This window comes from Homo sapiens, chromosome 12 (assembly GCF_000001405.40).
Source record: "Homo sapiens chromosome 12, GRCh38.p14 Primary Assembly".
NCBI classification, from domain to species: Eukaryota; Metazoa; Chordata; class Mammalia; order Primates; family Hominidae; genus Homo; species Homo sapiens.
In genome coordinates this window covers 92769449-92790691 of record NC_000012.12, presented here as the reverse complement: position 1 = coordinate 92790691, position 21243 = coordinate 92769449, and the positions used below count along the sequence as shown (strand labels likewise).

The 21243-nt window shown below is 34.0% G+C and overlaps 2 protein-coding genes and 1 long non-coding RNA gene across 6 annotated transcripts in view; 1 reads left to right on the top strand and 2 right to left on the bottom strand.

Annotated features, from left to right (window-relative positions):
- EEA1 (early endosome antigen 1) overlaps window positions 1-20055 on the top strand; it is a 158659-nt gene extending 138604 nt beyond the window's left edge. For both annotated transcript variants that reach the window (NM_003566.4, XM_011538814.3), the window contains 8 exons: window positions 2643-2825; window positions 8557-8742; window positions 10281-10412; window positions 11392-11577; window positions 12513-12751; window positions 13029-13149; window positions 13750-13848; window positions 14559-20055. In NM_003566.4, coding sequence (NP_003557.3) covers window positions 2643-2825; window positions 8557-8742; window positions 10281-10412; window positions 11392-11577; window positions 12513-12751; window positions 13029-13149; window positions 13750-13848; window positions 14559-14681 — 1269 coding nt within the window. In that variant the 3' untranslated portion in view covers window positions 14682-20055. The remainder of the gene's footprint in view (window positions 1-2642; window positions 2826-8556; window positions 8743-10280; window positions 10413-11391; window positions 11578-12512; window positions 12752-13028; window positions 13150-13749; window positions 13849-14558) is intronic.
- LOC124902984 (uncharacterized) lies at window positions 12756-13092 on the bottom strand. Its single transcript, XR_007063407.1, has 2 exons — window positions 13009-13092; window positions 12756-12894 (listed from the first exon to the last, which is right to left on the bottom strand). It is a non-coding gene; the product is annotated as an uncharacterized LOC124902984 (long non-coding RNA).
- PLEKHG7 (pleckstrin homology and RhoGEF domain containing G7) overlaps window positions 18237-21243 on the bottom strand; it is a 69467-nt gene continuing 66460 nt past the window's right edge. For all 3 annotated transcript variants that reach the window (NM_001377329.1, XM_047428867.1, XM_047428868.1), the window contains one exon: window positions 18237-20604. In NM_001377329.1, the coding sequence (NP_001364258.1) occupies window positions 20497-20604 (108 nt within the window). In that variant the 3' untranslated portion in view covers window positions 18237-20496. The remainder of the gene's footprint in view (window positions 20605-21243) is intronic.

The following is a 21243-nucleotide window of genomic DNA, read 5'->3' as shown; positions in this document are numbered from 1 at the left end:
TTTCCAACTTGGTTCCATTCTCCCCATCACCTTCAGGTACACCAATCAAATGTAGATTTGGTCTTTTCACACAGTCCATATTTCTTGGAGGCTTTGTTCATTTCTTTTTACTCTAACCTTGTCTTCTTGCTTTATTTTGTTCATTTGATCTTCAATCACTGATACCCTTTCTTCCACTTGATCGAATCAGCTGTTGAAGCTTGTGCATGTGTCATGAAGTTCTCGTGCCATGGTTTTCAGCTCCATCTCTACACTGTTTATTCTAGTTAGCCATTCATCATTCAAAAAGGTTGAAAAAACCTTTTTTCAAGGTTTTTAGCTTCCTTGCGATGGGTTCGAACATCCTCCTTTAGCTCGGAGAAGTTCGTTATTACCAACCTTCTGAAGCCTACATCTGTCAACTCGTCAAAGTTATTCTCCATCCAGCTTTGTTCTGTTGCTGGCGAGGAGCTGTGATCTTTTGGAGGAGAAGAGGTGCTCTGATTTTTAGAATTTTCAGCTTTTCTGCTCTGGTTTCTCCCCATCTTTGTGGTTTTATCTACCTTTGGTCTTTGATGTTGGTGACCTACAGGTGGAGTTTTGGTGTAGATGACCTTTTTGTTGATGTTGATGTTATTCCTTTCTGTTTGTTAGTTTTCCTTCTAACAGGTCCCTCAGCTGCAGATCTGTTGGAGTTCCACTCCAGACTCTGTTTGCCTGGGTATCACCAGCGGAGGCTGCAGAACAGTGAATATTGCAGAACAGCAAATATTGCTGCCTGATCCTTCCTCTGGAAGCTTCGTCCCAGAGGGGCAGCTGCCTATATGAGGTGTCTGTTGGCCCCTATTGGGAGGTGTCTCCCAGTTAGGCTACTCAGGGGTCAGGGACCCACTTGAGGATGCAGTCTGTCCGTTCTCAGAGCTCAAACGCCATGCTGGGAGAACCACTGCTCTCTTCAGAGCTGTCAGACAGGGACGTTTAAGTCTGCAGAAGTTGTCTGCTGCCTTTTGCTTAGCTATGCCCTGCCCCCAGAGGTGGAGTCTAGAGGCAGTAGGGCTTGTTGAGCTGTGGTGGGCTCCACCCAGTTCGAGCTTCCTGGCCACTTTGTTTACCTACTCAAGCCTCAGCAATGGCAGACCCCCCTCTCCGAGCCAGGCTCAGAAGTAACAGCTTTTTGATGCTCGTGGCTACTCTCAGGAATCCAGATTTCTGCTTGAGATAGGTATGTCAGTCATTCAAGTGGAGACATCAGGAAGATACATGGATATAAGAACCCAGAGTTCAGATGGAGAGGTTGCAGTTAGAGACATAAGTTTGGGAGTCAGTTGTAAAGAATATCTTTAAAGCCTGGGACTAGTTGAGATCTGGGTTTTTTTTCTTTTCTTTTCTTTCTCTTTTTCTTTTCTTTCTTTCTTTTTTTTTTTTGAGATGGCGTCTCTCTGTTGCCCAGGATGGAGTGCAGTGGTGCGATCTCGGCTCACTGCAACATCCACCTCCTGTGTTCAGGCGATTCTTCTGCCTCAGCCTCCTGAGTAGCTGGGATTACAAGTGTCCACCACCATGCCCAGCTAATTTTTGTATTTTTAGTAGAGGCGGGGTTTCACCATGTTGGTCAGGCTGGTCTCGAACTCCTGACCTCAGGTGATCACCCACCTCAGCCTTCCGAAGTGTTGGGATTACAGGTGTGAGCCACCATGCCCGGCCTAGTTGAGATCTTCTAAAGAGAGAGTGTATGGATTAAAAGAGGGCCAGCAATAGAACTCTGGGGTGTCTCAACATTCACAGAAGTAGCAGAGGAAAAGGAGCTAGTAAAAGATTTTGAGAAGTTATCACCAGTAAGGTAGGAAGAGAACCTAAAATATAAAGTACTTTGGAAACCAGTTGAAGAAAGTGTTTCTAGAAGGAGACATAATCAACTATATCAGGTACAACTTGACAGGTCAAGTAAGACATTGACAAGGATAAGAATATAGGATTTTGGAACATGGCAGTCACTAATGACTTCAACAGCAATTTTATTGAAGGTAGTATATTTTGAAAGTCAAATACCTATTTTTCATACTATGCATATGTATATGTTTTAACTATGTCATAATTTGTGCATATCTCCTGAATCTTCTTGAAGACTAAAGACAAGTTTAGAGTTTAGAGGAGCTTTAAAACTTTGTGAGATTTTCTTTTTCTGCCTTGATATTAATTAAGATGACCTGTAGAAATTTCCTAAGTTATTCTTGAATTTCCAAGAGTAGAAACTATATATTAATACTTCAACAAAGTAATGGCTTCTTACTTTCTTTCATGTACAAGTTTCCCTTAGTTCCACCTTAAATTACGTCAGCTGAGGCATCTAGCACTGCATGCTCCCTCAGAATGTAGTTGTTACTCTTTCTCCCGAGACCTGATAGTACTTCCCAGTGAAATGCCTTTTTAAAAAAAAAAAAAAATTAATTACTTTTGTATTTTATGTTCTTTAAATTGAGACTTGTTAGATTTTGTAATTCTTTGACTTTATAAGTAATTTACCCTATTGAGGTAGAAATTTGGGGCATAAGTACAGTTCATCTTATTGTTTGGAATTTTCTTCTAGTTGTCTGGATTTTACTTTATATTTGTAATTGGTTTTTGGAATGCATACTGTTTTAAATAACTATTGTATGTTTCAGACAGAGCTTGAGAATAAACTACAGCAGCAGTTAACACAGGCAGCCCAGGAACTTGCAGCAGAGAAAGAGAAAATATCAGTATTACAAAACAACTATGAAAAAAGTCAGGAAACTTTCAAACAGCTTCAATCTGATTTCTATGGGAGGGAATCTGAACTTCTAGCCACCAGGCAAGATCTTAAGGTATAGTAAACTATACTGTACCATAAAGTCTCAGTAAGTTTTATAGACATTTATTAAATGATCTATTTGAATCCAAATGGGCAAGGAAATGTTAGTATTTGTGGAATAGTGTGCTGTTTTCTATTAAATTGTTATTTTGTATTAGCATGCTTTAAAAAATTGTTTAAAATGTGGGCATTTTAAAATGACATATTTATAATAGTAAGATAATTTGGATATATCTTAATTGTGACACTGTTAACTTATGTAAGTATTATGCTGTCTTTGTGTGTGAATAACTTTAAAGATAGGCTGCTGTTAAGTTTTAAATGTAAACCACTTGTGAAAAAATGCAAGCAATTTTACCATTGCTTGTCAGGCAATTCTGACATTAGTTATAATATTTGTCAAGTTCCCAATATTACTGGATTGCCTAATGATTAAAATTAGGAGATTATAGCTCAAAATAAACTTACCCTTAATTATATAACAATGTATAGAAATTTTGTCTTTGGTAATGTTATTTGATTAGATAAAGTATCAAGTTTATTAAATTGAAGGATAATGGGAAAAGGGTAAACAATTTTTAGGTCACAGGAAGGTACCAGTTTTCTAAGGAAAATGGAATATTTGTGTTCTCTCACAGAGGATTCAGCCAGTTTTTTTTCTGTCTCTCTTTTTGTTAAGGGGAAATGCTTTATCTGTTTCTTTCCTATGTTTGGGATTTTGTTTATTTAAAGTGCATATTGCAAAATTCTGAGAATGAAAGAATATTAAAATGTTTTATTTAGATAGGGAGCATATATTTTATCCATAGGCTGTTATAAGGAATTATGAAGGAGGTGGGACTTGATTAGGTCCTGAATTTGAATACACAGAGACTCCGGAGAAAGGTCATTTTATTCAGGGGCACATTTGAGAAAAGGTGCCATAGTGAGAATGAATAAAGCAAGCAGACAGTTAACATAATTGCCTTGCTGGCGTACTAGTTTATGTTTGGAATTAAGGTTTAAAAGGTTGGATCTAAATTGTGAAGTATCTTAGATGCCTAGCAAAGATGATTGGATTTTATATTTGAGGGGAAAAAGTGAAAAGTCTAAATAGAGGAGTAAAATGAAGAAAATAGTACTTTAGAAAACAACCTGGTAGTGGTTTGCAGACAGCTTGGATTGGACCTGGGATAGACTAGTGGTGGAGAGATGAGTTAAGAGGTTACTAACTTCCTTTCTCCATAAATTCTAATAGTCGAGGTATGAGTTGATTAGAACTGGGATGAACATTAAAGAGGATGAAATAGAGATTAATGGGAGAGAGAGAAGAAACAAAAGGACTGAACCCATACCTGGCTGCAAGGATTTGACAGAGATAGGAAATTGGGTGAAAGAATTTTCATAGTGCCAGTAGAATATCTATGTATCTATCTATGTATCTATCTGTTTATCTGGAGGTAAAAATTAGCAATAGTTGTTATTAAGAAAAAATACCACACAAGATTTAGGTAGTGTTAAATTATTATTATTTGACCTTACAACACTATTGAAAGTATTGAAAGTCAAGGAAGCTTTGTGGAGGAGTTTGGGCTTAGCCTAAGAACAGTGAGGAACCACTAAAGGGAGTTACTTACATTTGTATTTTAGGCAAATGACTCACTGCAGATTGAGGAATGAGAAACAGGGCTGAATCTGAAGACCAGAAGACTTTGCAGTAGTCTAAGTGCAAGACGATGGTGGTGTGGGCTGGTAATAGCAAGGATGGAGAAAAGTGGATGAATTTGAAGGATATTTAAATGATAGAAGAGATGAAACTTAATGTTTGATTGGAAAAGTCTTATAGAAATCACACTCTTTCCATATGGATGTCATTTACCCAAAGCATAAGCTAGTAACAGGAACCAACATTAAATTAATCAATGTTAATTGATTTGATTGATATTCTTTCATTAAGCCAGCGATTTTTATTATGCTTGAAAGCTATGTTGTGTACTAATAATTTCATACATGAAAGAATAACTCAAATGTAAATATGGGCAAAAAGAGAAAGCTGAGGGACAAGGCTGCCATAGAGTTTTACAACTGTTAAGGGACCTTGGATAGATCCTCTATTCCAAAGCTTGCTTTTGCCAAAGAGAGCAGGCCCAGTGCTTCCTTTTGCAGAGAAGACAGGCCTACTGCTGTACAATAACAGAACCATGGTTAAATCTTAGTTCTGATTCAAAGTCTGCCATTCTTTCATCATTTCACTATAATTTTTTAACAAAATAAAAGATTGGTAAATTTTATATAAAATGCTTTTAAAATGAGAAGTGTATGAACTACTTAAGAAGCTAATTAAAAAAAATAGTCAATTCCTAGGGAAGTTCAGATGATATTTATAGACTAGGATAAGAGATGGCTATCAGTTATTATTTTTCTTTTGCTTCAATGATGTTGGATGGTCTTGTGTATAAGAGAGAGAAGAGGAGAGATTCAGAGCCTTGTAACATGATACCTAACTACTTCAAGGCTATCTACCATGGGTTGACAGTGTAGAGCATGGGCTAACAGTGTATATACCTAGACACCAGTAGAATGGAAGGTAGCCTGGCCTGATCTATGCCTTTAGCCCCATCTGCTGGATTATTTATGAAGTACTTAAGTTTGTTGACTGGATATTTCAGATTGGCTATGCTGTACACCACTCTTTGTTGTCCAGGAAAGGTAGAGGTAGAATTTAACTGTAAAATTTACACCCTGAGTGAAGTGAAAATTCTAGGATAATAGATTTAGAATTAAATATAAATCTTCTTAGCCTAGTACTCTATATCATTTCATCAGAAATCAAGAAAAAACAACTAAAAATATGAAGTTTTTTTTTTTTTTTTAAGAAAGTATGGGAAAACTTGCTGAATAGACAAAAACAACAGCTACCATGGAACACTGCAGAAATCATTTGTTTACTGGGGTGCTATAATGTGATTGGCATAATCAGGGTCAAGGTTGGTATTTGATCCATTTAGGGATTTGCCTATTTCAAGGGGAGTAGATGGGTTAGAGATAGTCCCAACAAAACCATGGAATGGGAGAGAGGGTTCTCCGAGGGAAGAGATGCTGAGCAGAGGAAATAATATGCAATATTATTATAATCTGCAATAAGAAAGATGAAAAGAACATTTAAAATGCATGGCAGTATAAATGTTCATCTATGTCATTGAATGATGTAGATGAAAGTTCAGAGGCAGGGGAAAACATGTCTTGGCATGTTCAGAAAGGATTTCATGGAGCAGTCCAAATTTTGAGCTTGACTTTAAAAAATCAGTCACTGGGTTTTGTGAGTTTAACATTTTATAGGCTGTTATTTAAACCATGGGCTTTTTGGAAATCTTGTGGTTAGAGGTTAGGGTTGCTTTCCAGGCTCTAGCAAGCGTTGGTATTTTTAAACATTAGATCAGGATCTCTATTAACTAATTATAGTTGCTGTAGACTGTTTGAACTGGACTTTGTCAACTTTTCTCCTTTTTTATGTGAAATCACTCTCACCCTTTGTGACATATAGGTCAGTTCCCACATGTGGTATAGAGCCTTCTGTAAACCCCACTCCACAGCATCTCACACTCACTGTTTTTCTGTGCATTTGGCACATAGCGTATACTCTCCTGCCCTGTGTAGCTTCCATTTTACATGGCTGTTCTGCTTTTTGGGCGATGTACTCAACTCCCTTAAGTCAAAGACCAGCTTGTACCCTCCTGTTCTGTCTTAGCAGTGTTCTCAATTAATGGTTAGGTGCTGGATTAGTGAAGAACTAGCTGATGTTAATTCTTCCCTGAAAAAAGCCTCAAGGGGTTTAGTGTTCTACTGGCAGTCATTGAAAATTAAGATTTAATTTATATCAGAAAGACGTAACTGGGTTACTGGTAAGAAGTAAACTTTCAGGAAGCTTAAGAATCCTCATAAATAAGATCTTTATTTATTTATTTCATCTTTCTTTTTTTTTTTACTGAGTACTTGCTGTATACAAGCCTACTCAGCAAGGATCCTTTGCTAAATTACGTTTTCTGCCTCCTTTTCAAAGGAGCTGTATCTCCAGAATAAGAAAGATCAGCTTTTTCCAGATCTGATGGAAGAGATCAGTTGGATCTCTTACCCTGCTGATTCTTCGCAGTAGCAGCTGAGAGTGGCAAGGTTCCTACCATACCCATTATCTACCTGTTACCATATTTATCCCCAACTGAAGTGTCATGAGTGAAAAAGCTTCCCCTTTCCCCAACTTCTTCTTCTCAAAATACTTGGGCTTTAAAACAGTCAACAACTATGGACTATGTTAAATGACAATCACTACTTCTACGATATAGATGAGAAGAGGACAGTGTGCTTTCTCAGGATAGAGCCTCATTCTATGTTTGGCTGAATTTTCTCTTTTTGTTCACTTGATCAGGTTGTCAGCTGTGAAGTTGTTATTATTTTTATTCCATGACAAAATAATCCTTCCTATTTGTTTCAGGAAAAACTCTCTCAAATTGTGTTTTTCCCCTACTCTCACACCACAACAATCATCAACACAGAAGACTTCTGTGACCAAACATATGGGGATTTTCCCACACACACCAAGAAGCAGACACCAACTGTGTGTCTTCCAATTTAATTCTGACAGTATCTCCCTAGAGATAGTATCAAATCCCACAGATTGGGGGCTCAATCCCCAAGACTGCTCCCTACAACTCCAAACACCAATCATTAATCCAGGCTTCCAGAACTTCTGACCAACTAGCTAGTTTCAAGTTGGGGTTTTCATGACACCCTCTTTGGGTTCAGTTAGTTTGCTGAACAGCTCACAGAACTCAGGGAAAACTTACTTACATTTACTGATTTATTATAAAGGATATTACAGAGAATACAGATGAAGAGATGTGTTGGGTGATATGGGGGAAGGGGCACAGAGCTTCCGTGCCCTCCCCGGGCATGCCACCCTCCAGGCTCCGTATGTTCAGCTATCTAGAAGTTCCCCAAACCCAGTTCTCTTGGATTTTTATGGAAGCATTCTTTCACCCAGGGTATGAGGCAGGACCCTTTCAGGGAAGAGTCTTAAGACTCACAATCAGAAAATGGGGTGGGGAAGAAGATTAGAGGCCTGCCTAGGGACCAGTGGAAGAAGGGCAGGAGACGAGATTCTGTTTCCTGAGGCCTAACATACCCAACATTGTAACAAAAAACTGTAACAAAGGATGTGGGAGTTGTGATTCAGGAACCCTGGACAAAAACCACTATATCATAACACCATACTATTTATTAATATTTTTAGCATGTCAAGGGACATCATAGAACCTACCAAATGTATATGTATGCATAATGAAGCATTTAATTATATCTCTTTTAAGATTGTTTTCTTTCACACTGCCTTATGACTTTAACCATATATATGTTCTCTGAGTGTATCTGATATGGTCCCTACTTATTTGGTATTCTTTCATATCAACTAGCCAATATTGAAGATGTGATCAACATTCAGCAAATACTTTAAATATTTATTTAGTAAATAGATTATTTTTGGAGGCTTTGGAATTGCTTCCATTTTACTAAATATTTTATATTATAAATGTTTTCTATAAGCAAGAGAGTTAATATTTTAGAATTCTTTCTCTTTTACCTGTCTTACTGAAGGGTATAATATGCTATCTTTTTATAGTTTATTGCTTTCTACAATGTTTATATTAACTATGTTTCTGTTGAATTTACTAAAAACATGGCATATAATAATTTGGGAAAATTGTTTTTGTAAGTCTGTAGAAGAGAAGCTTTCTCTAGCACAGGAGGACTTGATTTCAAACAGAAATCAAATTGGAAATCAAAATAAATTGATTCAAGAACTGAAGACTGCCAAGGCTACATTGGAGCAGGATTCAGCAAAGAAAGAACAGCAATTGCAGGAGCGATGTAAAGCACTACAAGACATTCAGAAAGAAAAGGTATTGCATGTTTCTGACCTAAATCTACAATCTTAGAGTTACAGTTGTCTTAGAGATCATCCAGTCAAACCTCTTATTTAGTACAGGCATCATCCTTATTTTCAACAGCTCTCTCAGAGGGACCTCTAGTTTCTGACACTTTTGATCATTGGGATTTTAATGCTAGGAAGTACTTCTTAATGGCCTCCTTGTTATTTCTACCCTTTTTTCTTACTGCTCTTTAGTTTTACAAACAAGTCAATTTTTCACACCATAGACCCTTGGTTATTGCAGAAAAGATAATATAGTTCCTCAACTATTTCTCATATAACGTATTATCCTTTAGATGTGTGAATGAGATAATAAAAGATCTAGAAATAATTCTTAAACATGTTAAGAATTCTTAAAATTAAGAACCAGATTGTCTAAGGAGTTTATTAAGTTTCAAAGTTGAAAGCATTGGTTTACTAATATATGACCAGTACATTTTAAAAATCACTTTAAATTCTGTATGAAAGAAAAATTCAGATCCTAGGAAAGAGTTTATTTTTTGTTTTATAGTTGAAATCATATATTCCTGTTAGCTGACAGGATATTACTCTGCAGTGTATATTCCCTGAAATTCTTGGTAAATTCTAAATGGTTCAGTTCCTGAAATTTAATTTAAAAATGTTCTGTGGGTGTGGTGATGGTGAAGCTGGAATGAAATTCATGATTTGTGCTTCAAGTTTAGAGAATTCTGACAGAACTCTTGTTCATAAGGCCAGGTTTGATGGCTCATGCCTGTTATCTCAGCACTCCCAGAGACCAAGGAGGAGGGATTGCTTGAGCCCAGGAGTTCAAGATCAGCCTGGGCAACATAGTGAGACCTTGTCTCTATTAAAAAAAAAAATTTAGCTGGGCATGGTGGTGCACACCTGTAGTCCCACCTACTCGGGAGACCGAGGTGGGAGGATAGCTTGAGCCTGGGAGGTCAAGGCTGCAGTGAGTGAGCCATGATCATACCACTGCACTCCAGCCTGGGTGATAGAATGAGACCCTGTTTCAAAAAGAAAAAGAACTGTTGTTTATAGGAGTTTAGTTGTGTGAGCTTTAGATCATACAGACTTGCTTTGGTTTTGGCTCTATCTCTGATAGATTATTTTATGTCTCTTAAACCTTTGTTTCTTCACCTAGAAAATGGAGATTTAAAAGTCTACATATACTAGAGATTAACTGAGATAATATCCTAACTAGATACCTTATATAAAGATAGTGATAGTAATAAAATAGGAGTTATAAGAGTAAGAATCGTAGTTTTGCAGTATCATTACTCTGACCAGGTACAATTTATCTCACAATATTAACTATAACTATTTAATCTTTACAATTATTTTATTATTGTTCACACTGTATAAATAAGGAAACAGCCAAGAACCAAGAGAGGGTAAGTAATTTGCCCAAGTTAGGTAGAAAAGGGCAGAGCCAGTGTCATCAATAGTAGCAGTCATTTTTATTACACCCATTTTCATTTAAGTATTTGCTTTAAAATAATTTTAAAATATATCATTTTTCTACAGTCACTGAAAGAAAAAGAACTGGTAAATGAGAAGTCTAAATTGGCAGAGATAGAAGAAATTAAATGTAGACAAGAAAAAGAAATCACTAAACTAAACGAAGAACTCAAGTCCCACAAACTAGAAAGCATAAAGGTATGTTAAGATAATCATTTCTCCTGCCTTCTGTGTTATATTGCTCTTTAAAGAAATATATATACCCATACATATTTATTTATTTATTGAGAACTTGCTATGTGCTAGGCAAATTGTTCTGTTGTTTCTGACAAATACTCTTGCCAGAGTGCTTTTGTATTGCATAATACCCGTACACATATTGAAATTGCTACATTTGTTTTCACATTACCCAATGAAGCAAAGTAACCCTAAGAGTTTGGATCTCATTGAAATGATAATCAAGAGATGTATTGATTTAGAAAATTATGCTCACAGGTAGTAAATTTCAAAATATGAAAGAGTTTAGAAGTAAGATTTAAAGGGATTGTTTATTCAATTATTTTTCTTCCTAAAGTCCTTTCATAATCTGTTATTTTTAACATTTTACCTGTTATAAGCATAGATAGGGTACCCATTGAAGAAAACTAATTGTCTATTATTTGCTTTGTAAAATACTAATTTCTTAAAAAAAGGTTAGATTCTTTCTTGAGAGCACTCATAATGTCCTTTATGTCTGTAAGCATACTTTCATTTTGGTTTATAATTAATTATCTCTTTATGTTCCTCTGTCCTCTAGAATGTGACTTCCTTAAATCAGGGAATGTGTATAATTCATCTTTATGTTATATCCCCAGAACGTAACTCAGTGTGTGATAACTAAATGATGACCAGTAAATGTTAAGTGAGGAAAGGGAAAATAGAGAGTACAGTTTGTTTTTTTTTCTCCACATAATCAAAACGTATACATTTTTGTCACCTGGATTTAAATGATTGTTGAGCAAGACATACTATAATCTTGTATCTTTTTAACCAATTCTTTAAAATACTGAACTTTAAGAATTTCATAAGTGGGTAAAACCTATATTTGATCTATTGTGATAAATTGCATAAATTTTAGCCAAATTTTGAAATATTTACTATGAAGGATGATTTATTTTTGGCCCTACTTTTTCAACAGGAGATAACAAATCTTAAAGATGCTAAACAGCTTCTAATTCAGCAGAAATTAGAACTTCAAGGAAAAGCGGACTCCCTGAAGGCAGCTGTTGAACAGGAGAAGAGAAATCAGCAGATACTAAAAGACCAGGTGAAAAAGGAAGAAGAGGAGCTGAAGAAAGAATTTATTGAGAAAGAAGCTAAGTTGGTCAGTGAGTTAATCGGGGGAAGTGTGTTTTGCAGTAGAGCTTTAAATCAATCCAGTGAGAGGACTGTTCTACTTATAAGATCTGATTGAAATGCTTTCCTAACATTTTAGTTTTTGATTAAGGAAGGAGATCTGATTTATTTACATAGCTGACATGTGGTTGGAAATATTTTACCCTGTAACCATAATTCTGTTTTTATAAGTGAACATTGAAATGAAATAAAATTAAAAAATTTTTTTTGTTTTTTAAGTGTCAGAAGCTAAACAACCCCACAACTACGTAGATCTGGTAAATGGTGTGAATGCTAGTCATGTTAAACCCATTTGTTGGGTCAAAACGAATGTTGATAAGGGGGAGCGGAAACTTGAGTTTGAAATTATGATGAACAAAGTCTGCTTTTCCTTTCCTAAGTTGCACATGCCAAATGGGAAGCATCTGGCTTTCCTCTGTTGAATTAAGTCCAAATATGCCCAGATAACTTGGCCATTGAATATTTTAGTTGAAGAGTTTCAATTTTAACTTCAAACAGTCATTTGAAGGTTTCATAATGGTTTTTGGCAGACTGATAGAGAAAAGAAAGCATATGGAATTGGGACGAATAAGGAAATTTCAGCTTTGTCTCTAGGGCACCTTGCTATCCCTAACCATATGTGTCTTTCCTGCTCTGGTGGAGAAGAAGAAAGATCTCACATTGTGTCACTTTAGCTCACCATCATGATGGTCACTATCCATCATTTCAGCATTTTGACCTTTGAGCCAATTCATATTACATAGATGCTTGTGGAATCAGTTTTATTAATGTGTAATGAAATATGTTCTCCTGCCTCCATTCCCGAAGAAGCAAATTGCCAGTATTTTAAATGTAATAAATCACTTACATTTATTTTGCACTACTTTTGTAATAGATTTCCCCCCAACTTTTCCTTTTTTTCAGCATTCCGAAATAAAAGAAAAGGAAGTAGGAATGAAGAAGCATGAAGAAAATGAGGCTAAACTTACCATGCAGATTACAGCATTAAATGAAAACTTAGGCACTGTGAAGAAGGAGTGGCAATCTAGTCAACGGAGAGTTAGTGAGCTTGAGAAACAAACGGATGACTTACGGGGTGAAATTGCAGTATTAGAAGCAACGGTTCAGAATAATCAAGATGAAAGGAGAGCACTACTGGAAAGGTGATTGATATCTAGTAAAATTAGTTTATTTCCATTGTAAGTGATAAAAAGATTGTCATATTCCATAGTTTTTAAAAATAGAAGAATCTTGAGAAAAGTGCATAAGCCTCTATAGGTATTTAAGTAGCCATTTAAAAATTAACCTGTAAAACAATCAGATAGTCAAAATTAATGTATCATATATTTTAAATTACTAAAGTAGTCCATTATCTATACCCTAGAAGGGTCTTTAAATGATTTTCTAAAAAATTAATTACCTCTTTGCAATCTATTCCAGATGTCTTAAAGGAGAAGGTGAAATAGAAAAGCTTCAAACCAAAGTATTAGAATTGCAAAGAAAGCTGGATAATACAACTGCAGCAGTGCAGGAGCTGGGCAGAGAAAACCAATCACTTCAGGTCAGTCACCTATGGATATGAAGCAGTTTTTTAGTCTAGAATTGGCTTATTAGTGAAAAGCATATTTTTACCTTTTAAAAAATCTCATGTTTTATAAATACTTTCAAATAGCTACTCTCTGTTTAGCAGTATTGTAGGTTTTGTGGATAATTAAATATAAAAGTAAAGAACTTGTTTCAGAGACCTCAGAGATTCATTAGAAAGCCATGTCATTCATTAATTGTTAGTATATGGAAAGAACTACAAAATTCAAGAATACCAAAGAATATATGAGTCAGTATGTGTTAAAGAAGCGATCTGAGTATATTCTCAGAGTCACCAGGGAAAATTCATCATTATGTTTAGAATGGATTGGAAATCAGCAAAGGTTAGCAAGATATTTCAGGAATAAAATTCAATTAATTTTATTTTGTCATTCAGATTTATGAGTATAGCTACTTTTGACAATAGAAGCTGACCAGTGTATTTCTGATTTTTAAAATTTTATTTCATGGGTCATATAGTCAAAATTTTATAGAACTCTGGCAGCAAGTTAGAAATAATCTAGCATTCTTTAAAATGTTGAATACTATAATATATCGATACTTCTTTAAAAAACAGATCAAACATACACAAGCGTTGAATAGAAAGTGGGCCGAAGACAATGAAGTACAAAACTGTATGGCCTGTGGGAAAGGCTTTTCAGTAACAGTGAGACGGGTAAATAATTTTGTTCATGTAACTATGTTTCTGGATTTCATTTGTCACTGATAATTAATGTTTTAACCATCAAAATAGTCCTTCATTTGACAGAATAATTTTCTGTTTATCAGTAAACTTTAACAACAACATAGAATAACTTCATGCAGTCTAGCTTTTGGTTAGCATATGTGTTTGAATTTTACTTTTAAATTCAGTCCTTGTCTTCCAACTTAGTTACTGTCTGGGACAATCATTTTCTGAATCAGTGCACCAATATTAAACTCATGTTTTAGTAATCATTGGGTTCTTTAAAGGAAGAAAAAGCAGAGGTATTTTAAAAATATATTCTAAATACTACCATTGTGTTAATGACTTAAGTTTATATTTCTTTTGGAGACATTAGTGCCTGAAACATTTGGCAAATAGGAATAGTTTTTCATTTGATAGAGATACTTTATAAAAACTTTTTAAATGCCTCCTCTGGTTCTTTTGAGAGTTCCATAATAAATTCTATGTAAAATGTTTAGCATAGTGTTTGATAAATAGGAAGCATTCAATTTAATTATAACAGAGATTAAGTTAACATATTGAAACATATCATTAAATAATATACCAATGACTTGAAAGCTAATGTACCTTCATAATGTAGTTGGTGGTATTCATGTAGTTTCATAATACTTTTGGTATAGTTTTTATTCTTGAAATTGTTTAATTTTTGTCATTTACAGCATCACTGCCGACAGTGTGGAAATATCTTCTGTGCTGAATGTTCAGCCAAAAATGCCTTAACTCCTTCCTCCAAGAAGCCTGTTCGTGTCTGTGATGCATGTTTCAATGACTTGCAAGGATAATGGGTTATCACAACTTCAGAGTAATATTACACTAACATTAGATTTTTAATAAATGTACTTAATAGAGGTCTTGGACTACTATTTGGTTTGGACACTGGTTGCAATACTAGACCAAATAGGAATTAGTATATTTTGGAATGTTATGGATATCAAGTAAAACTCTTCTATTTTTGTGAGACTTGGGCTTATCATCTTTCATTACTTTTTTCCCATTTAGCCCCTGGAATAGCTTTCATGCCAAGTTTAGAATTAGCCAATGAAATGTAAATAAACTTTGGACAGAAAATAGCAATGTATTTTTTTAATATAATTTCATTATTCACAAATGAAGAATGCAATTCCATAGCTTACTTCTTTCTCCTAAATTTAATGTACAAAAATGTACATGGATGATATTATCACTTGTTGCTGTTTTTGTTGCACAATAGCACATTAATTATATTAAATATTCTCTTTGTGAAGTTATGCACAGAACTGTAACACTTTCCTCTGCCTTTTTCTCTTATATGTGGGTTCATGGTTCAGTTGCATTGTTATGTTATGAATTTACTACTTGGGTGTTCTAAATACAGTTTATCTTAAAATATGTAGTAATATGAATTCAAAAATGGTTTTTGTTTTAACAATATTAATTAAATTTTCTTGGGTGGATTTTATAAAAACCTCTGTAAAATCAATTTGTTTACTTATAGTTATCTGGGGTTGTATTGCAAAGAATAGGGTTAATTTTTCTTTTTGTCTTTTTCTGTCTCTTTCTTAAACTCCCACGCATTGTCCATTTAGAATCTTAGAAAGCTTCTTACCCTCGCTGTCAGTTGGAGGATGAATAATAAACATTGTATAATGTTCTTATTCTCGGTTTCTTGTAAGTGGGAAGTCTTTTGAGATCAGCCTTCATATCATACCCTTATTTTGTCTCTCTAGCATCTTCAGGAACCTGAGTTTGCTTTTTACATAGATCTGATTTTTTCCTTTATTTGGTTTAACATTTTCAAGCATAGATCAGCTTCATGTATTTGTTTTATAATTTTGCATCTTAAAGCTAGTAACTAATATTGCTGTGGTCTTATTGGTGAAAACAAAATATAAAATGATAAGAAGACATTAAATATTTTACTTTCTATTTCTTACCCTATTGGGAAGAATTTTTAAAAGTTGTAAAATTGACTTAAAGTTAAAATGGTTCTGAATTTGGTGTTCCATGTCAACTGTTCCCAGTTTTAATTTTAACTTTGCAAAAATAATGTTGTGAAATTCCCTTTAAGTAACTAACACCTAGAAATAGAGTATCACCAAAAACAAATGTATTTAGGAATCCCAGTTACAATAAAAACTGAAACAGCATGGCTAAGCATCTTAAGGATAATTAAGAAATTAGCTTATTTGTATGCTGAACAATGGAATCGAACTTTAATTTAGCATAGTCTTATTAATTTGGAAAATTGTAAAACATCTCAAGAGAGAAGTTATTAATATTGGTTTATTAATCTTTCTAGAGAAGAAGTGTAGTTATACATTCATTCAGTGCAATCATTTTATAACAGTAGTTAATATTTCATTTATAATAGTTCTTAATATACATTTGCTTTCAAATATTCTGAAATGAAATTATATTCATGCTATACCTACAGTGTATGTAAACTAAAGAGATCACTACATATTTGTTTAATTATTTAAAAAAAAATTTAAGTAAACCCTGTTGTCATTAGCTATTAAGAACATTGATTAAGTCCCTGGACTTGGATAAACATATATCCTTGAACATATATAATGAAGAAATACAGTGGCTCTTTATTAAAAATAATAGTTGGATAATATAAACTGAACTATTTATGCATTTTTATATACTTATAAATCCTTCCAAATAGTTTTAATTCTATCCTTTTACATATAAATAACTTAATAAGTGTGCTGGAAAAACACAGATATTCACAGCACCACTGTTTTTTTTTTTTTTTTGAGATAATAAATTCCATGAGAAATCTGGGTTTGAATATTTGTTTACTTTGTCTCCTAATTGAACACCACTCCAGGCCTTCTGTCTGTCTCCCCTTTACCCCCAAAATACTCACAAAAAAATTTTAAGACAACAAGTAACCATATATAGGTGTTTGAATGATTTTCTCATTTTTATCTAATTTCATTTCATAAGTCCCGAGTAATTTACCTACCATAGGCTACTATACTGATAATATAAATGAAACCGAACATTTTTTGCTACTAACTCTCCCCAATTTAATGTGTTTTCGAAATAAAAATTTAAATTTTTTTCCTTTTAATTAAAAAGTCATCTTTGAAGTCCTTATTGGCTGTACATTTTACATGTTTGCTGGTACTATTATTTTGTCAGTCAGTTAAAGCTGGCATGTACAGCTCTTGGCTTTAATGAAAAGCACATTGACATAATGTTAGTAAATTCCAAACCCCGGCACAGAATGTGAGTTAAAATTAAGTCTTGCTGGGTTAGTGTACAATAAACTATACCTACAGACTTTTTTTTAATAGAAAGAAGACAAAGCTGCTGGTATAGGATTTGTTCCTTTGAAGAAAAAATGAGGGAAACAAACACAAAAACCTCAATGCAGTGTATAAATAACATTTTGTTCAACTACCTCTTAATGTGGAATTATCTACTTTAATAGTTTCCTGACAGTAATGTTAAATAGTAACTGCCAAATTTGTTATTTTCCCATCTCTCTTAAAAAAGTCTTTATGATTATTTTATATAGTTTTGAGAACTTTAAAGCCACTTTTTTTTAACCTTACATTTGCATAAAAATGTTTAGCTTTTAAGTAGAGAGCAAATTATGATCATATATTTTGATATTCATGACCTGTTTGACTATAGGAGTTTTTTTAAAAAAATGCACTTTGGCTATAAAACCATGGATGATTTGATCCATAAGATTTAAATGTGCCACCATTATAGTATTCCTAGACATGAGCTTGATGAATGGTATTCTGTAATTATAACGTGCCACACATTATTGTGTCTTAATTGCCCTTAGCCTGAATTTTAATGATCAATTTGTTATTGTTGCAGATGTGAATATTGTGCATAAACTTACTAAATTTATGTAAAATTGTATAAAATAGAATTAGAAGTCACTAAGTTCTTTCTGTGTAGAAGTAATAAATTTATTGTAACACAATGCAGTTGTGTATATGACATTCTGTAATTCCTTGAACTGGATCATATATTCATAAGTTCTGTAGATACTTATGCATGAACATTTTCTCATTTAGTTTTTGGGTTCATTATTTGTATTGTGTTTACTACTTGTGATCATGTAGTTGTGCCTTACTTTGTGAGAAAGGTTAGCTCAGTAAATACTGCAATTTCTAAACTCAGTGATTGGAAGGTTATTAATTATAAATGTAACTGATAAAGTACGTGACAGCATTTAAATCTGTATAAAGAACAATGGAAGGATCCTTATTGAATTGTTGCTTTTTTTTAATATGTTTAAATATTATATTAAAAACATTTCTTTCTAAACTAGTTGTATTCTGTGACTATAAATTGTTTTGTCTAACAAAAGAGAGAACACTGTATTAACCATTTTGCATTAATTTATTTACAGAATATTAGGACTTTGCACTTGGATATAGACAGTGGTGTTTTAATGTTGTTCAATTTCGAATAGTAATTAAATTCCTGATCTCAAGAGAAATTATTAATGCCATTTTGCCTTAGACATTCCATTTAATATTGTAGAGAATTAACAAAACTAAAAACAAATATAAAAAATATGTAATTAACCCCTTATTTCATTGTGTGTCTGCATTTAATACCCAGATGACCATTTAAAGATACTTAAAACATTATTTATTTATTTATTTATTTATTTTTCTCCCTCCCCTCCCCAAAGATACTTTTTGGAAGGCCCAATGTGCCATTGTTTTTTGCTATTTTTTCTTCCTGGGAGCCACGGTTCTAGAATGGTTTTTGTTCTGACCCCCGTGATCCCTTCATTCGAATGTGCTTCATTCTAAACCCTCCAAAGAGTTTAATGTGCATATCCTCAAACATCTAATATATTGTATATTAGACATGTTACTTTGTGAGCTTTATAGAATTCCAGTTTATGTACAGCATATTCTTGAGCTGTTTTATATATTTTGTTAATTTAGTCAGTCTGTCTCTCCCTTTAATGAGATTCAGAGGGAGAAAACTACCTTTATACATGTAAGTCTGTGGTTGCTGGATTCATGGGACTAAAGGAATTTGAGAGGCCACCTCATCCTAGTCCACTGCTCACCTCCGAGGTTAGTTTATATCTAAACATTTGCAAGATGATTGTTAATGTAAAAATTTTTTTTAACCAGAAATTTCTTTATAAAATCTTCTCTTGCATAATCTATATTGTATTCTCCTGGACATAACTGCTTTCAGTCCCATCCAGATGCCATCTCTAGGAATTCACTTGAAGCTTGAAGTCTATTCTCCCCTTTTTCTCCCCTCCACCTCATTTATTCTTAGCTATTAACAATAGTTACTGTCCTCCAGATTTTCCTTTTTTTCTTCTATTAAATTTCTGACATTATTATAAAGAGGTTATTAGTCTCCATTCTAATAGTGCTTGCCTTGTACAAAAGCCTTTCTGCTGCACTTGTCTTTACTGCTTTGTTTGCATAGTGAAATTTCACCTTCCTCAAGGAATTACTGGGCACATGACTTGCCCAAACATTATCCTCTCTACCCCATTCTTCAGCTTAACAAAATCAGCTAAGGCTTCAGTTGTCTTGCAGCCAAATTTGATAAATTTACTACTTTCACTTTGCAAATTGCAAAAGGTACGATTCTGAAATGGAAGTTTGTGGACTTCCCTTTGATGCAATAATCTGACCCTAAGAACTAGTTCCTTGAATGTAGTTAATAGTATATATCCTGCCATGATAATAATTATTCAAACTGCCTTTCATGATAAAAATTCTGAAGAAATTTGAAGTCCTGCCAAATAAAATTAAGTGACTGTACTGTGCTAACACACACACACACACACACACACACCAATCAAAACCAGAAAGTATTTTTATGGCAAACACCATCATTCTTCAAAAAATAAAGTTAAGAGACAGATACCTTACTATGTCTATGAAAATCTGTACACTTCACAACAGGCCAAGAAAAGCCATGCAAAAGTGTTAACTGGTGAAAGCCAGATTTTTTTTTTCTTCCTATCTTAAAGTAATGGAATTTAGTCTTTGGGATTTTCTACTTCCACGTTAGAGTACTATATACCTGAGATGAGTTTGAGAATAGGAATTTTAAAACTGCTACTTAAATGTAGTCCCTATTTATTGCTTTGTATATTAAAAGAACAATCAAGCTTTGTATCTAAAGATTTATCATTATGTTTGAGGTAGGACTATAAAGCGGTTAAGACTGATTGACAGGCCATGAAGGAAAATTGGTTTCATTATTTTATGGATACAGAGTAAGATGCTGGAGTTCATATTGGACATAAGCAGTGGACATTGTTTTCCTTCTGATACTCCATTTATCTGATCATTCACCCTTTACAAATTAGCACCTTTCTTCACTCACACCTCTTACAAACCTGACGGAAGCATTAGAAGGTAATCTGGATGTCAGTATATATTTGTCAAGAAATTCCTCAGAGTTCAAATTTGTTGCAGTCATTATTCCTCTATACTGAGGATTTTCCTAGCTCAAAATTTCAAATTCTGAAACTTCTTTAAAATGCAAATTTCCTTCTAGCTTATCACTAGCTAAGTGTTACAAAACTTTGAATGAAATTATACCTTAAACCATAATCTTCTAAAAAGACATGCCACTTGTTTTAGGTCCCTAAATTTCAGAGGATTCTGCGGGCAATGTGAATAAAGATATTTTCTTGGTTTCCTGACTCTTGGTAAAGCAAGAAATTGCAGTTGTTATTTGTGCCATCCATGTTTTCTGTTGAAAAAAAGAAAAAAATACATAAATAGAGATTAGAATGTTAAGCTGACAATTTCTCACATATTTGGGCTAATATTTTCTGCTATATTTATTGACCAGCTCTTTAAAACTGAAGACTAATGAAACATTTGCATATGTTTCCCATTTTCTTTCTTACATCTAATATAAATACTTCTAATCTTACAGGAAAATGCAGATGGGCTAAATGAGTATGGTATGCATGTTGGATAACAGTTATGAGTAATCAAGAAACAATAGTCAATGATAACTCATTAGAAAAATGAGCACTGAGAATATATGTAGTTTGAAAGTGGCATTGCTGGAATTTCTATTCTCTGTGGAAACAAGTTCTTAACCTGTAGTATAACTTGAAAGAGACTGAGGGCAGTGACCCAGGAAATTGAATATTGCATTTGTTGTCTGGCCACATTGTAGATATGATGAAAGCCTACCAGGGGAAATACAAAAATAGAAACTTCTAAGACAGAGAAACCAGAGTCAGGCAGCTGCTCTTTCAACTCCATAGCTGTAAAAACAATGGCAGTTTTTCAAAGGTTGACAAGCTGACTTGACAGGGATCATTATTGCGCCAGGCCCTCCTTAAGCTAATATCCTATTATATGCACTTTGGAAACT